Source organism: Homo sapiens, chromosome 2 (assembly GCF_000001405.40).
Source record: "Homo sapiens chromosome 2, GRCh38.p14 Primary Assembly".
Taxonomy (NCBI): domain Eukaryota; kingdom Metazoa; phylum Chordata; class Mammalia; order Primates; family Hominidae; genus Homo; species Homo sapiens.
In genome coordinates this window covers 89,043,389-89,061,206 of record NC_000002.12, presented here as the reverse complement: position 1 = coordinate 89,061,206, position 17,818 = coordinate 89,043,389, and the positions used below count along the sequence as shown (strand labels likewise).

General features: G+C 41.3%; 1 gene segment (V, D, J or C) and 1 further gene, besides 2 other annotated features; one reads left to right on the top strand and one right to left on the bottom strand.

Annotated features, from left to right (window-relative positions):
* IGK (immunoglobulin kappa locus) overlaps nt 1–17,818 on the bottom strand; it is a 1,378,008-nt gene that overhangs the window by 1,174,162 nt on the left and 186,028 nt on the right.
* Nucleotides 14,741–14,795: a sequence feature (IGKV1-13 leader sequence).
* On the top strand, nt 14,741–15,217 carry IGKV1-13 (immunoglobulin kappa variable 1-13). The segment is given in 2 exon segments: nt 14,741–14,795; nt 14,922–15,217. Coding segments are annotated over 2 exon segments (351 nt in total).
* Nucleotides 14,922–14,932: a sequence feature (IGKV1-13 leader sequence).

Below are 17,818 nucleotides of genomic sequence, written 5' to 3'. Positions count from 1 at the left end.
AAATAGTTAAATAGCATAGGGACATTATAGAAAAAAATGTATAACTATCTTAAGTATAAAGAAAATGAAGTCTTCGTATTTTGCAAAGAAGCTGTGTGAACGCTGTGTCTGCAGGTTTCAGCCCCAGGGTGGGCCCCTGCCTTTCCTGTGACTGAGCATATTGCCTTTCTCACACCTGCAGTCATCCAGCGAAGTGACAGGATGGGCTGAGCTGAGCTGTACTGTTGGGCCACCCTGGGGAGATCTTGGTTATATAAGATGCATTTCAGAGGATAACAATAACTGCTAACAGCAATAAATGACAGCAGTTCAGCTTTGTTCATGTAGAATTTCTCCCAAACAACCCACAATGAATAGACTTGAACCCCAGAGTTGATCTGGGAACAAACCTAATACAGATTGGGGAATAGGACCCATCTTCCTGACCCATGTAAACCGATACCAAAAGTTGTCCAACCTGCACATCAAACCAGCTTCCAGATAGGTTAAAGAAGTCACATCAGACCATCCAGTCGCAAATGAACCACAGGGTAACTGCAGACACAAGAGCGGACTCAGCAGAGATCAGTCCAGCCAGCCCAGAATGGAAGAACCACAGAGCTGACCCTCAGAATTATAAGGAGCTGTACAGTCAGCTCTCTATCCATGGGAACTGCATCCATGGATTCAACTAATCCTGGATCAAAAATATTTTGAAAAAAAAATCCACAAAATTCCAAAAAGCAAAGCTTGACTTTGCCATGTGCTGAGTAACACTTGGATGAATCTACACAAGTTAAGTCATGTGTAGACATCGTACTAGGTACTATAAGGAGGCTAGAGATGGTGTGAAATGTACGGGAGGATATGTGTAGGTTATATGCAAATATTGTGCATTTTACATAAAGGTTTTGAGTCTCCAAAAATTGGAATATCTGCAGGGTGCCCTGGAAACTATTTCCCATGGATACTGAGGGAGGACTGCACATACTCATTTTATGGCATTTTGTTTGGAGCTGGTTTGTTTTCAAAGAAGAGTTAATAATACAACCTGTTTTTGTGAACAGGAGCCAATAGAGTTAAGTGATAGTGTAGTCCCATTTATTGCAATTTTTTTGTGACTGCAAAGTCTATTTGCTTGTTTTTTAAAAAAGATAAGAATACTCTTACCTGATTATCATGGACTTTGGATGTCTTCCTTATCTCCCCAGCAAAATACAAACTATGAAGAGCAGCACACTGACTATGAAGAGCTGACTATGAAGAGCAGCACACTGCTATTCAAACTTCTCATTACTCAGAATAATCCATGTTTTACATTCAGTGGGTTGTTTTCAACGTGTATAGGTTATGAGTGTTGATTATGTCTTGGAGAGTTTCTTACTAACTTTTCATTATTCATTCATTCAATAAAGTGTTAATTGAGCAACTATGCTGGACCAGGAACGTATCTAGGCTGCACCCCTGAGAAAGTCAGTGTCTGACTCTCATTTACCTATATCTTTTCTGGTGAAAAAAAGGCCATGTCTAATTAAACATAAATCAACAAAAAGATTCTAGAAAAAGTTAAGGGTCATAAAGGAAAAAAATGGCAAGGGAAGAGGAAGTGGTTAATGAGGAAAAGGAGTCAGTTAGTTAGGGAGGTAGAGGCTACTTTTTCTGAGGAGGTGACTGACCTGGATGAGGAGAACAACTGACCTGAAGAGAAGTTTCTGAAGGGCACTGAGGTTCATGACAATCAAGGCGCTTAGAAGGAATACAGTATGAACGTGTGAAGGACAGAGAAAGGCACTATGAGGAGAGTGACTTAACCAACCGAGGTAAAAAAGAGAAAGTTCGTGAGGGGGCAGGTCAGAGCCATTTTCTCTCAGTGTCTTAAAGATCACCACATGTGACTGATGTGAAATTAATAAGGCCTTCATTTTCTGTTTGGGGAGCAAATGCTTTGTAAGTACAGCAGGACATTCTGGGAATTTTTTTAACCAAAGTACCCCCATGGTCATATTTATTTTTTAGCAAAGTAATGACTCGAATTGGGCTGTGAGAAGCAGAAGAGATGCTTATCTGGGCAAAGTGGATCCTGGCATAAACTAGTTTTGGGGCAGTGAAGATTGTTGGAGACATAGGCAGATGATACCATATTTTTAAATCAATGTCATTTACACTCCTTGGTGTGAGAAGAGTCAGATTAGGAGTGACCTGGCAGCTTTGGCCTTAATCTATTAGATAGATTCTGACTTACTGATGTTAAATGTATTAGCGGTCAAGAAAGTTGAGATAAAATGAAAGGAGTTTGTTATTTTTGCTCAATTCTAGATTGAGACACCAATGAACATGCAGATTAAGTGGGCAGGTTTGCAAGTGAGTGGAGTTTGAGCTCAGAGAAAAGAAAATACGCATAGGTATTCAGCAGCACTTACAGGGTAATTTATGGTATTAAAACCACGTGTATGCATATGCATCTGCACATATTTATGCATGTGTATGCACGTAGATAAACATATGCATATGAGTATTTTTCAGAAAATAAAAGGGATAAAACCAATAATCTCAGCTTCCACCTTATGAAACTACATAAAGAGGAGCAATTTATATCTGAAGTAGAACATGAGCAAAATAAATAATAAATATTAGGGCAGAAATCAATAAAACTGCAAACAGAAAAAGTGACACTGAACACCAGGCAAGCCAAAGGCTGGTTCTTTGGAAAGAACAATATTGTATAGTTCCCATATATTTGAAAATTTGGGGGTTACATTTTCAATATTGATTTCTAGTTTGATCCCTCCATGGTCAGAGAACACATTCACTGTGATTTTAATTATTGCAAATATGTTGAGAGGTTATGTGGGCAGGATATGTCCTATCTTGGTATATGTTGTGGGCACTTGGAAGAAAAAAATGTGAACTTCTATTGTTATGGGTTGGAGTGTTCTATAAATGTCAGTTAGATCTCGTGGGTTGATGATATTGTTGAGTCCTAAATCCTTGCTGATTTTCTGTCCAGTTGTCCTATCGAAGATTAAAAAGGGGTTTTTGAAGTCTCTGTGTGCAATTGTTTTGTTAGTTTCTGCCACATGCACTATATCGCTCTGTTGCTTGGTGTCTACGCACTTAGAACTGCTCTGTCTTCTTTCCAAAATGACTTTCTTCATTATGTAATGTACCTTTCTGCCCCTGGTAACATTCTTTGGCTCTGTAGTCTACTTTATCTGATATTAGTATTTGCTACTGATTCTTTTTATTAATGTTTGCATAGTATACCATTTTCCTTCCTTTTATATTCAATCTACTTATACTGTTATATTTGATGTGAGTGTCTTGTAGATAACATACAGTTGGGACATTTCTTTTTATTCATCAATTGTTGTCTTTTTCAAAGTTTCATAATTTGCATATTTAATATATTGATATTGATATATTAAAATTTAAGTCTGCACTCTACTTTTTTGCTATATCTTTTTTTGCTTCTCTGTTTTCTTTTTGCTGCCTTCTTTTGGGTTACTTGAACATCTTCACAATTTCATTTTAATTTTACCTAATTTTGGGGTATCTCTTTTTATAATGATTTTCAAATTGGTTGTCATGGTATTTCCTTTATATGCATAGCTTCTCACAGTATGTTGGCATCAATATATTACCATTTAAAATAAATATAGAATTTTACCTTTTTTATGTCATGTTTCCTCCCCCATTGTAAATAGATTGTTTTTTAAAAGTAATTTATCTGCATATATTAGGAACAAAACAGTATTACAACTTTGATACAACTATCACACATGATTTAGCAATGCATTATATCCATCTATCTTCTCATTTTTGTAGCCTTTTGTCCCTAACATTATTTAACATCCTCTCTTTATCTTTAGTTTTATCTTCCTAGGGCTCATTTTGCCTATGTTTAAAGTGGATCTGCTGGCAGCAAATACTCTTAGTTTTTCTACAACTGAGGACTTCTCAATTTGTCCTTCATTTCTAAATAATAATTTTACTGGACATAGGATTTTAGGGCAGCAGATCTTTTCTTTAAATACTAGAAAATATGTCATAATTGACACCAGATAACAAGGTGGAAATATTTCCAAGAACAGAGGACAACCATGCTCTCAGTGAGGTGAAAGACATCTCTTCCCCTTGCATTAGTTTCCAATGCTGCTGTTTAAATCACCACAGTCTTATTGGCTTCACACAAATAAAATATAGTACCCCGTGTCAGAAGTCTCACTGAGCTAATGTTAAGGTGTCAGTAGGGCTGTAATCTGTCACACATGTGTGTGTGAAGAGACAACCAAGCAGGCTTTGTGTGAACAATAAAGCTTTTTAATCACCTGTGTGCAGGCTGACTGAGTCCGAATAAGGAGTCAGCAAAGGGAGATAGTGGTGGGGCAGTTTTATAGGATTTGGGTAGGGTAGTGGAAAATTACAGTTAAAGGGGGTTGTTCTCTTGTGGGCAGGGTCAGGGGTCACAAGGTGCTTTGTGGGGGAGCTCCTGAGATTCATTTTCCAGGAGAAGGAATGTCACAAGGTTAATTGATCAGTTAGGGTGGGGCAGGAACAAATCACAATGGTGGAATATCATCGGTTAAGGCAGGAACTGGCTATTTTCACTTCTTTTGTTGTTCTTCAGTTGCTTCAGGTCATCTGGATGCATACATGCAGGTCACAGGGGATATGATGGCTTAACTTGGGCTCAGAGACCTGACATTCCTATCTTCTTATATTAATAAGAAAAAACAAAATACTGGTGAAGTGTTGGGGTGGCAAAAATTTTTGGTGGTGGTATGGAGAGAGAATGGGCATTGTTTCTCAGGGCTGCTTCGAGTGGGATTAGGGGTGGCATGGGAACATAGTGTAGAAGATATTAAACTGAAGAAAGATTTTCGGGTAAAGGGTGGTATTGTGGGGTTGTTATAAGGAGCATTTGCCATATAGAATGATTGGTGATGGTCTGGATGCGGTTTTGTATGAATTGAGAAACTAAACGGAAGACACAAGGTCTGAATAAGAGAAGGAGAAAAACAGGTATTAAAGGACTAAGAATTGGGAGGACCCAGGACATCCAATTAGAGAGTGCCCAAGGAGGTTCAGCATAATTATTTGCTTGGTTGGTGAGTTTTTGGGCTCTATCCTTGAGTTTTTTTATGTTGTCATATACCAGGCCAGATTGATTTAGGTAAAAACAATACTCTTCATTTAAAAATACACAGAGTCCTCCTTTTTCAGCAGTAAGTCGAGGCCTTGGCAGTTTTGGAGGACAACCACAGCTAAAGATTCAACCTGGGCCTGGACGACTGATAAAGTTTGTGATATGTCTGTGATGCTAGCAGAGAAGTCATTAGAAAGGCTAAGGAAGGTTGTGACAGAGGTTGAAATGCCTGCTATTCCAGTTCCGAGAGCAATAGTGGAGGCAGAAATTCCTAAACTGACAAGTAAGGGAATTAGTGGAATAACACTTTTTTATCGTGTCGGTTTCATGAGGGGAACAGGAAGCTGTTTGGTCCCATTTGCAAATTGAATCTAGGGACTTAGGAAAACTAGTGTGCATGTGCCTGTCCAATTAGCAGATAGACACATGTAGGTAGAGAATCCACAGAGGAAGAAGAGACCTTGTGCAAGGCAATACCGGAGCTGCAAAGTGAAAAGATGAGAAGGAGTACTAAAAGAGGTGTATTGTACCCAGACTCCTAGGGATCCAGCTAGCGCGGCAGCCATCAGAGGTTGTAATGGGGACTGATGGGGTAACCGCATAGAGGGGAAGGTTCGATTTTCATGGTGTAAGAGAAAGTGTCGAGTGTCTATGAGCAACCTTTCACTGTTATTTACGGGGCTGGGTATAAGCAAACAAGAAGAGGGCCTGGGAGGAGAGTCTGAAGAGCAAGGGGAAGGCAGCAAAGGATGGAGTGAAATACAGGGTAATGTCTTCCTAAGCAATAATAACTGCTAATGTTTTTAAGTTTGTCAGTACTGATAGAGGGCTTATCTGTAATATGGAGCTGGAAAGCCACAATTGTTTCAGTGGTATGTGTAGCTGGGCTTTGGAGATCAAGAGTGAAGGAACATCGAGAAGATGCAAGGTTACCCAGGGGAATTCCAGTGGGTCTTTGCCGAGAGATACATAAAGGAGCAGCCACAGGAATAGCAGCTTGTGTTGTGAGGGGTCTAAATATGGGGGGAGTAGAGTTGATATAAGGAGAAAGGTTTTTTAAGTAAGTGCGAAGAAGGGCAGCAGCTTTCTGATGTGAAATGTCTGGGGAGGTCTTGCTGGACCTGTCTAGAAAGTAAAGAAGTTCTTCAGGAGGGTAAAGGTGAGGGCTGTTAAAGGAAGTTCGGAGATGTACGGAGACAGGAGATGTTGCCCAGTAGGTATGTAAGGCAGGGACAGCTTTGTAAGCGCAGGAAGAAAGGGAAATGCAAAGCCAGCAATTGTTCGCTAAGGAGGGATTAGAAATGGCTTGGAGAGAGTGAGTGAGACTGATAGTGTAGTGGAGATAGTTGGGGAGAGGGAGAGGGTGGCATAAGAATGGGAATGAGAATAAGAGTGAGTATAAAAATAAAGAATAGGACTTCATCATGGTGAAAATATTGGAGTGTGCCCTGCCAGCAAAGATCATCTATCCACTCCAAGAGGAAGTCAAGAGTGGTGGTTTGGCAATAGGGCCAGGAGATATCAGCTGTGATGGTTTGGAGAAACAGTGTAAACCAGCAGTATAAACAAGAGCAGGGCATTTATGAGTAGTTGAGAATGGTGAATAGGAGTATGACTAGACAGAAGATAGTAGGGATGACAAGTTTTGGGGCACAGTCCAAGTAGTGGGGGTGACTGTGTAAAGCCCTGTTGCAAAAAGTAGAGTAAGGATGAATAGACCTAATAGAATGAAGGAACATATTAGGTTCATAAGGGTTATTACTGTTTTCAGAAATGTGAGTGAGTTTAAGGGAAGTAGTGGAGAGTACTTGCAACTTCCAGGAGGAAGAGGAGAGATCAGGCTTGCTGTCCAATGGACACAGCTTTATTCTGGAATGGTGAACCCAATGGGGAGGGTCCTGCAGATGGACAGCAGTTGGGGTGCTATAGATGACTAGGTAGGGTCCAGTCCATCGAGGCTGTAGAGTTTGAGGGCTCAGACTCTTAACAAGAACTGATCATTCAGCTAGGGTGTCTTCATATGGCTGGGAATCTGGAGTAGGAAAGAGAAGATTAGCAGTCGGGCGAATTTCCTGTCTAGCCTGCTGGAGGACTGGAAGATAGTTGTCCAGAGGGCTGGTGTCTGGAACAAGGTTGGGGCCAAGCAAGAAAGTAAGTCCATATAAAAGTTGAAATGGACTGTACCCTGTAGCATCTTGAAGTCAGGCTCTACTTCTGAGAAGGGCAAGTGGTAGAAATACTGTCCAGTCCCTTTTAAGTTGGAAGCTGAGCTTGGTGAGGTGTGTTTTTAAAAGACCATTACTCCTTTCTACCTTTCCTGAAGACTGAGGATGGTAGGGGGTATGAAGTTTCCACTGAATATCAAGAGCTTGAGAGACAGCTTGGAGGATTTGACTAATAAAAGCCAAACCATTGTCAGATTGAATAGAAGTAGGGAGGCCAAATCAGGGAATTATGTCTGTTAGAAGGGAAGAAATGACTGCAGTAGCCTTTTCAGAGATAGTGGGAAATGCCTCAACCCACCCAGTGAAGGTGTCAATCCAAACCAGGAGATATTTAAATTTACAGATATGGGGCATATGAGTGAAGTCAATCTGCCAATCTTGTGTTGGAGTAAATCCATGAGCCTGATGCGTAGGAAAAGGAGGAGGGCTGAGAAAGCCTTGGGGGCTGGTGGCATGGTAGACGAGCATTGAGAGGTGACTGTCTTAAGGATGGATTTCCATGAAGAGAAGGAGATGAGGGGCTGCAGGAGGCGAGCCAGAGGCTTGTATCCCACATGGAAGTGGTCATGAAGGAAAGAAAGCATGGACTGAGCTTGTGAGGCAGGAAGAATGAATTTTCCATGATTTAAGAAGCACTTTCCCTGAGTTGGAAAAGACTAGTAGAGCAGGCTTTCAAAAGAGTAGGTGGTAGTGATAGATAAGGAAGAAAAATACTGGTCCTCTGGAGTGGGAGCTGGAATATTAGCGGGTGTGGAGGCATTGGCTATTTCTTTTGCTGTCCTGTCGGCATAGGCATTTCCTTTTGCAATAAGATGAGTAGGTTTCTGGTGTCCTTTACAATGAATGACTCCAGGCTTGGCCAGCAGGAGAGCAGCCTTAAGGAGGACCTTTATTAGGGAGGCATAGATAATGGAAGAGGTTTGTGTGGTAAGGAAGCCTCTTTTAGCCCAGATGGCAGCATGGTTATGGAAGATGTGGAAAGCATATTTGGAGTCAGTATAAATGTTAATGTGCATTCCCTTAGCGAGAGAGAGCACATGAGTTAAAGCAATCAGTTTGGCTTGTTGGGAAGTGGTGGAGGGAGGAAGTGCAGCAGTTTCAATAATAGAGATGTGGGACATGACAGCATATCCAGCTTACCTGGTGAAAATTGATTGGGTGGTCTGGATTTTGAATTCGAAGAATAGAAATACGAGGAAAGGAGGAAGATCCTATGTGTATTAGGGAAATGCAGTCACGTGGTTCAGGACTTGTGTTGGTTACTAACTGAGAAGCTGGGTTGAAATCGTGCCCATGGCCAATAGTTACTGTTGGGGTTTCAATAAAAGATGAATAGAGCTGGAGGAGTCGAGGGGCAGACAGTAAGTGTGAAAGGTGTGAGGAGGATATTAATGCTTGAAGGTTGTGAGAACTGTAGAGGGTAAGTGGAGCATAGCTTGTGATTTTGAGGGCTTCCAGAAGTATTACAGCAGCAGCTGCTGCTGCACGCAAATATGAGGGCTGCACCAGAATTGTGAGGTCAAGTTGTTTTGATAGAAAGGCAACAGGTCATGGGCCTGGCTCCTGTGTGAGGACTCCAGCAGCGCAGCCTTGTATTTCAGCTGTGTGTAAGGAAAAAGCATGGGACGAGTTGGGGAGTGCTAGTGTGGGAGCTGTCTCCAGGGCCTTTTTGAGAGAGCAAAAAGAACAATGGGCAAAAAACTTAGGGTCTATGGGATCAGTTAAGTTACCTTTTGTGAGCTTGTAAAGTGGTTTTGTTAGGATAGCAAAGCCTGGTATCCAGAGTCGGAAATATCCAACAATGCCTAAGAAGGAAAGGAGTTGTTGTTTTGTGGTGGGGATTCGGGTCTGGGAGATTAACTGAGCACAGTCTGCAGGAAGGGCATGTGTATGCTGATGGAGGATTATACCGAGATAGGTAACACTAGGGGAAGAAATTTGTGCCTTGGAGGGGGATACTCGGTACCCCTTTAAATAGAGATGTTGAAGAAGCAGGGTAGTGTCCTGCTGGGAAGATTGGTAAGAGGGACTGCAAAGAAGAAGATCATCAAAATATTGAATAAGGTGGGAGGCAGACAGGTGAAAAGAAAGCAGATCATGAGAAAGGGCCTGGCCAAAGTAGTGTGGGCTGTTCCTGAAGCCTTGGGGCAGAACAGTCCAGGTGAGTTGTTGGGATTGGTGGGTGTCACGGTCAGTCCAAGTAAAGGCAAAAAGAGGCTGAGAGGAGGGATACAAGGGGATAGTAAAGAAGGTGACTTTGAGGTCAATAACAAAATAGTGAGTTGTGGAAGGGGGTATTGAAGATAGGAGGGTGTAGAGGTTTGGCACTATAAGGTGGATGGGAAAGACGATTTGATTAATAAGGCAAAGATCCTGAACCAACCTGTAAGATTTGTCTGGTTCCTGGATGGGTAGGATAGGGGAGTTGTAATGTAGCAGGATGAGCCATGGACAAAACCTCTCAGACACCGAGTTGTAGAAGGAAGGGCTTTATTCAGCTGGGAGCATCGGCAAGCTACTGTCTTAAAATCGGAGCTCCTTGAGTGCACAATTTCTGTCCATTTTAAGGGCTCACAACACTAAAGATTTTACATGAAAGGGTCGTGATTGATTGAGCAATCTAGGGGTTATGTAACAGGGTCTTCATGCACTGGTAGTCAGAGTCAAACAGAACAGAACAGGGAGTTTCACAATGTTCTTCATACAATGCTTGGAATCTATGGATAACATTGGTTGCTAAGTCATGAGATGATTTTTAACTACTAGGTTTAGGCCAGGCAGGCCCAGGCCTGGCGCCGGGCTGCCTGTCTCTGATTTCACTTCCTTGATTTTTACTCTTAAAACAGGTACTGAGTATAAAACAATATAAAACAATATGAGAGGGTCTCTCTCTTCCCTCAGTAAGGAGAATTTGTAGGCTTTAAGAGGCCATGTTGTAACAGGTGGGTGATAACAGGCTCTAGTGGTAACAGTGATTAGGTTTTAACGGGATGGTAAGGGGTGCATGATCAGTTGCCAAGGAAGGAGTAGAGGTATCCCATACTTGTGGATTAAGGCAGGGAGACACAGGGGAGGATGCAAAGGAGGCTTTGAAGTGAGGAAAAGGGTGGCAATGAGGTGTGGCTGTAGCCCAGGAATAGTCAGGGAAGTGGATAGTTTTGTTAAAACGTCTCGACCTAATAAGGAAACTGGGCAGGTAAGGATAACTAAAAAGGAGTGCATAAAAGAATGTTGTCCAAGTTCGCAACAGAGTTGGGGAGTTTTAAGAGATTTAGAAGCCTGGCCGTCAATACCCACAACAGTTATGGCGGCAAGGGAAACAGGTCGTTGAAAAGAAGGTAATGTGGAGTGGGTAGACTCCACATTGATTAAGAAGGGGATGGACTTACTCTCCACTGTAAGAGTTACCCAAAGTGTCTGTGATGGTCCAGGAGGCTTCCAAGGCGATTGGGCAGCATCAGTCTTCAGCAGCTAAGCTGAGAAGATCTGGGAAGGAGTCAGTCAGAGAGCCTTGGGCCAGAGTTCCAGTGGCTCTGGGAGTGGCTGCCAGGAGAGTTGGACAGTCCAATTTCCAGTGGGGTCCTGCACAGATGGGACACGGCTTAGGAGGAATCCCAGGCTGTGGGCATTCCTCGGTCCAGTGGCCAGATTTCCAGCACTTGAAGCAAGATCCCGGGGGAGGAGGTCCTGGAGGAATGCCGGGCTGCTGCGGTTTAGGCATTTTAAAATTTTGTGACCTAGTGTAAGCAAAACACTATCTGAGGCAGGTCTCAATCAATTTACAGGTTATTTTGCCAAATATATGGCTTATGGCCTGTGACACAGCCTTAGGAGGTCCTGCAAACATATGCCTAAGGTGGTTGGATTTTACGTTGGTTTTATACACTTTAGGAGACACAGAAATTACAGGCAAAGACATAAATCAGTACATATAAGATACACATAAGTTTGTCCTGGAAAGGTGGGATAGCTTGAAGCAGGGGTTTCCAGGTCATAGGTGGATTCAAAGCTTTCCTGATTGGCAACTGGTTGAAAGAGTTAAGCTCTGCCTAAAGAGTTGAATTCATCATAAAGAAATGCTTGAGTCTAGAAAATGGGGGGTTCTTGTCATGTAGATGAATCCTATGGGTAGTAAATAAAGTAGATGGTGAATGTTGATTATCAGACCTTAGAAAAAAATGTCAGACTCTTTGGAAAAGACTTAGTAAGGGGAGGAGATTCTCTATAGAATGCAATTTTCCCCCACAACAGGTAGCTTTGCAGGGCCACTTCAGAATATGTCAAAGAAATATTTTTAGGATAAAATATTTTTATTTTCTCCAGGGCCTATTATCTGTCACATTGGAGTATGGTATCTTATTGCTAAAAAGTATCTGTTTCATCAGTCCAGAGATCTCTGTTGTAATGATAATGCTGGTCAGTTGTGTCTGAACTCCAAAGGGAGGAGAGTATAATGAGGCACATCTAAACCTGCCAGTCATGGCCTAATCTAGTTTTCCAAATTTCTTTGAAGTGCTTTCTGTCAAAAGAGGAGTCCATTCAGCAGGTTGGTGACCTACAACTTAATTTTTGGTTTTAACACACAGAAAAACAAAATCACTGCACAAATTCAATCTGAAATAGATTGGTAAAGAAAAATTAAGTGCTTCCTGAATATTCCTACATGTCAAAGAAAAAGAAATTATTAGAATTCAGATGAGAAATACCCCTCATACAAAAGATTAACGATTTTTTTTTTTTTTTTTTTTTTAACTGTCTTAGTTTGGGTCCACCTGCAATAAGGATTCCTGTTTAGGCAGCAAATTTACGCTGGGAGAAAAGGAGGAAAGTGAGGAAGGGAACAGAAGATGAATTGTAAAAGACGCATCAACAACCCACCTGACTCAGGAGAACTGAAGATCAACCACCTGTGGAAACATGGACTAAATTCCTCCGGGCTGTTCCACCTGAGAGATGAGGAAGCTGAAGTATGTATACACCTCATCCTGTCCTCACTGATTGTGAGCTGTCTCTCTTGTTCTATTTCAAGCTGCTGTAACAGATTCCTTTTCACTGAGTAATTCATAAAGAACACAAATTTATTTTCTTACACTTCTGGAGAATGGGAAATTTAAGTTCAAGGCATGGGCAGGTTAAGGTCTGCTTTCTTTGCTTTCAAGATGATGCCTGGAGTTTGGGGTCCTTCAAAGGAAGGAAGGCCATGTCTTAACATGACAGACAAGCAGAAGAGAGAGAGATCCCAGCCCCACAATTGCTGTTTATACTGGCATTAATGTATTCCACTAGAGGGCACCACACTCATGATCTAAACACATCCCAATAGGCCCCAATTGGCAATACCATTACACTGAGAATTAACTTTACAACAGATGGATTCTGGAGGACACAGTGAAACCATAGCACTTTCCTAAGAGATACACATTCCAGGTCATTTGGTCAGCAATGCATGCAGGCAGAGTTCTCTGCCCAAGACTGTAAAGAACATAAGACATGTATATTGCCATTGGAAGTGAGCAGAGGTACAGCAAAGAGAAAGCCCTAGAATACAGATAGAGACTCCTATATTCATCCTGGTACAGTTAACCCTTGAATAAATTGGGTTTGAAATTTGCAGATCCACTTGTATTTTCTTCTGTGTGTGTCACCTGTAAGCAAGTACTTAATAAGTAGTAAATATATTTTCTCATTTTTATAATTTACTTAATTACATTTTTTTCTTTAGCATAGTTTATTGGAATAATAGAGTATATGATATAAATAACTTAAAAAAGTGTTAATCAACTATTTATTTTATCATTAAGGCTAGCAGTCAAAAGTAAGCTATTAGTACTTAAGTTAGAAATGCAAAAGTTCTACACAGGTTTTCATCTGCACCTGTGGTCAGTGCCCCAACCTCCACATTGTTCAGGGGTCAACTGCTCTTTCAGTCTGTAGCTGCATCTCTCTGGAACAGGATCTTGGTAGGTGAGTTGTAAGTAAAGGAATCCAGAAAATAACATCTCAAACTATGCTGCATTCGTATGAGGATTACATAAAACCAAAGGCATTTAGAAAGCAGCAAATGCACAAAAAGCCTTCTCCTAAACATCGCTTATCTGCCAAAAAGCAGATTCTCCAGAAGGAAACCAATTGTCAAAAAACTTCTTCCTGAGAATTTTTATATCAGGGAAGATTAACACAAAACAGGAATCAAAAATAGAAGAGACTGGGAACTGATGCTTTATCCAGACAGGCTATTACCTGTTCTTTTGAAGATGCACTTCTGTTCTCATCTATTCTCTCCAGATTGCCTACACTTCCGAATTCCGTCTTCGCTGGAAAGGAAATATGAACTACTGGATCTTATTGAGTTATTTGGGTAATCACCCTGCTATGATATCCTGCTGCACTTTAAATGAATTTTGTTTGCCTTTTCTCTTATTAATCTTCCTTTTGTCAGTTTATTTTCAGCAAACATTTAGAGGACAAATGGAGTTTTCTTCCTTTCTCCCAATATAAGCAAGTTCCCTTAAAATTCAGGCGGCTTACAAAGCAGCAAGAAGGTTTGTGCACGGGCTATGGCACTGTGATTTGGCTCCCCTACTCAGGCATCAGTAAAATTTTGTGGAGCCCTAGGCTGCAGCCCACTGATGCTAATATAGTTGGATCCACTTCCCCTGCTACTGAGCTAGGCTGGGACAGTTTTGGGCACATTAGATATGTGCGATATAATGATTGCAAATCATTTCCAGTTTTGTCTGGATCAAACTGCTTTCTCCATGTACATAGGCATCATCTCTGTGGATCTGTAGTAAATTGCTTGATCTTATAGTGGTAAGAACAATGGCATAACACCATTACCGAATACTGACATGTATATATAGCATCATGTCAATAAATTTTATTTTTGATTTTTTTTAGAAAGGAACAATGTTAAAATCACAGAAATGTTCCAAGTATAGGGCAAAGTAACCCCTTCCCTAACCGGGATCATATGAGAGTCTTTTGGAGACCTGATAATCATACCGTCTAACATTTTATTATATATTTCCTACAAACAAGAATATTCTCCTAAATAATCCCCATACACCAATGAAATACATTACTCCATCAACTCCTGAGGAATATTTCAAATTGTCAAAAAAAACCTAAAAAATGTCTCTCATAATAAAATAGTTCCCAGTAGAAACACATTCTCTGGAGACAAATTTGTGCTACCCTGGTCTTACCTGGGACACCTGGGGACACTGAACTGGTGCTGAGTTACTGAGATGAGCCAGCCCTGCAGCTGTGCCCAGCCTGCCCATCCTCTGCTCATTTGCATATTCCCAGAACACAACCTCCTGCCCTGAAGACTTCTTAATAGGCTGGTCACACTTCTTGCAGGAGTCAGACCCACTCAGGACACAGCATGGACATGAGGGTCCCCGCTCAGCTCCTGGGGCTTCTGCTGCTCTGGCTCCCAGGTAAGGAAGGAGAACACTAGCAGTTTACTCAGCCCAGGGGGCTCAGTACAGCCTGGCTATTCAGGGAAATTCTCTTACTACATGATTAATTGTGTGGACCATTTGTGTTTATGCTTCCAATCTCAGGTGCCAGATGTGCCATCCAGTTGACCCAGTCTCCATCCTCCCTGTCTGCATCTGTAGGAGACAGAGTCACCATCACTTGCCGGGCAAGTCAGGGCATTAGCAGTGCTTTAGCCTGATATCAGCAGAAACCAGGGAAAGCTCCTAAGCTCCTGATCTATGATGCCTCCAGTTTGGAAAGTGGGGTCCCATCAAGGTTCAGCGGCAGTGGATCTGGGACAGATTTCACTCTCACCATCAGCAGCCTGCAGCCTGAAGATTTTGCAACTTATTACTGTCAACAGTTTAATAATTACCCTCACATAGTGTTACAAACCCGAACATAAACCCCCAGGGAAGCAGATGTGTGAGACTGGGCCGCCCCAGCTGCTTCTCCTGATGCCTCCATTGGCTGAGAGTGTTCCTCAGATGCAGCCACACTCTGATGGTGTTGGTAGAGGAGGATATGAGATCACCTCTGCATCCCAATTTCTTTTTCTTTTCTCAGCCCCAGCTGCACAGACATTACAATGCCTCTGCTGATTTAATAAAGATAGAGATCATGACACCTGAAGAGTCTAGTTTATGGCTTTGGTTAGAATTCATATAACAGAGAAGAAGCCATTATAGATATTCTAAGCAGGAATAGTCTTAATAGATAGAATTAGAGTCTAAAGTATTGAAGTCTAAATAAAATGTACAGATAAATTTAATGTTTTATTTGCTAAGAAATTTTTGCCAAATGGGGCATACAGGAAAACTCAATGGTCTTCAATATGTTGGAAGAGCAAAGAGTTTTATTAAAAGGGAAATTATTACCTATTGTTCTTTGAGAAATTTTGTTGGCTGTAGTAAGGGTTGGGAGCTGGCAAGCTCAGACTGGTAAGCAGTGGTGGTCAAACTGAATCCTAGAATTATATTAAGTTATCTCAGAAGTTGTGGGTAAATTTGCTTTCAGGTTACAATAAGCCAAAGCAGTGAAGCTTGCAGAGAATTTTGTTACTGAAATGCCAGGGATTCAGTATAGATCCTGCGGCTCACCACACAGAAAGCCAATCACTAAGACAACAAGTGTTGTCAAAGAACAGGCTTTAATCAGGTGCTGCAGCCGAGGAGACGGGACACCATTCTCAAATGTATCTCCCTGACAAAATAAATTAGGCGTTTATATAGCAGGGAAGAAATGTGGAAAACAGGAATTAGAGAGGGGTAAGGAAGATAATTTAGTCAACAGGAAGCTGGAGGTCAGTTAGGCAATCATAATGGGTGAAGGGTCTGATGTCTCACTGTCCCCATTCAGTGATATATAACTTTCAGCTCCTTGATAGTATCTAGAGGCCTGATGGTTGGTTTCCTGAAAAAAGAACTCAGATTAACAAATGTAACTACCTTGAGTTTTAAGACTGGGGGAGTCAGTTTCTATGTTTATTCAAAAAATCATAAACATTAGTTCCATGGGATAATAGGGTCTATTTCAATTGCATTCTTCAGACAATATTTTGCACCCTGAGTGGTTTTCCCTCCTGGTTTCTTGGCTCTGTTGGGTATGTCAAGAATGACCGAATTCCTATGATTAACTTTTACACTACAACCTTTCAAAGCCAAGGATATAGTAGTCAGGCAGGTTGACAGTAGAAGCAGGATTCTCTGGTACTCCCTCAGAAAATAGAATGCATCTGCCACTGAAGTATGGGCTATCTAACCATGTGGTCCTCAGTCCTGTCTGAAAGCTTAAGGGTGGGGTTGCAGCTGCTCTCAGCTTCCTATAGCATCTTTCAGGTTTTTCCCAGGCACATGTGTTGACAAGGAAGAAAACGGTGGGAATCACCATGTTTGGGTGAATCCAGTTTCTAATGGCTATGATTTGCATAGGAAAGCTTCCCAGCCTGGCTCTAAGAGCCAGGGCTTTCTGGCTAGACAAGAAGTGTTTCTAGAGCTGCTTTAAAGGAAACAAAACCTTCCCAAGGACCCCTTTTCCTATCTGCCTAAAATAATTTCTTAAAAACTCCTATAACACTTGGGTTCCAGAGATGAGGACATGGACATCCTTTGGGGTGGGACATTATTCATTCCACCGACCATAAACATATTCCCCAAAATTGTCCTTCTCTAAAGTAAAATTTAAAAAATCACGAAGTATTTTTATGAATCAAGGGAGGTGGACAAAATCTTAGACTCAGGTTCCTCTAACTTGTGAGTTTTATCTGTTGGGGTATGCTCACTCCACTGTCTCTAATGTAGATTTATTGATGTGTAGATAGTTTTAGAGGATTTTTAAATTTTGTGACCCAGTATAAACAAAACAGTATCTGAGACAGGTCTCAATCAATTTACAGGGTTATTCTGCCAAAGATAAGGCTTATGGCCTGTGACACAGCCTTAGAAGGTCCTGTAAACATGTGCCCAAGGCGGTTGGATTACACATTGGTTTTAAGCACTTTAGGGAAACACAGAAATACAGGGAAAGACATAAATCAATACATATAAGATATACATTAGTTTGTCCTGGAAAGGTGGGATAGCTTGAAGCAGGGGCTTCCAGGTCATAGGTGAATTCAAAGCTTTCCTTACTGGCTACTGGTTGAAAGAGTTAAGGTCTGTCTAAAGAGTTGAATTCATCATAAAGAAATGCTTGAGTGTAGAAAAGGGGATGTGGAAGCCAAGGTTCTTGTCATGTAGATGAATCCTATCAGTAGCAGATAAAGTACAAGGTGAATGTTGCTTATCAGAGCTTTAAAAAATGTCAGACTTTAAAAAAGACTTAGTAAGGGGAGGAGATTCTCTATAGAATGCAAATTTCCCCCACAACTGGCAGCTTTGCAGAACCACTTCAGAATATGATGAAGAAATATTTTTAAGGTAAAATATTTAGATTTTCTTCAGGGCCTATTATCTGTCATGTTGGAATATGGTATCTTAAT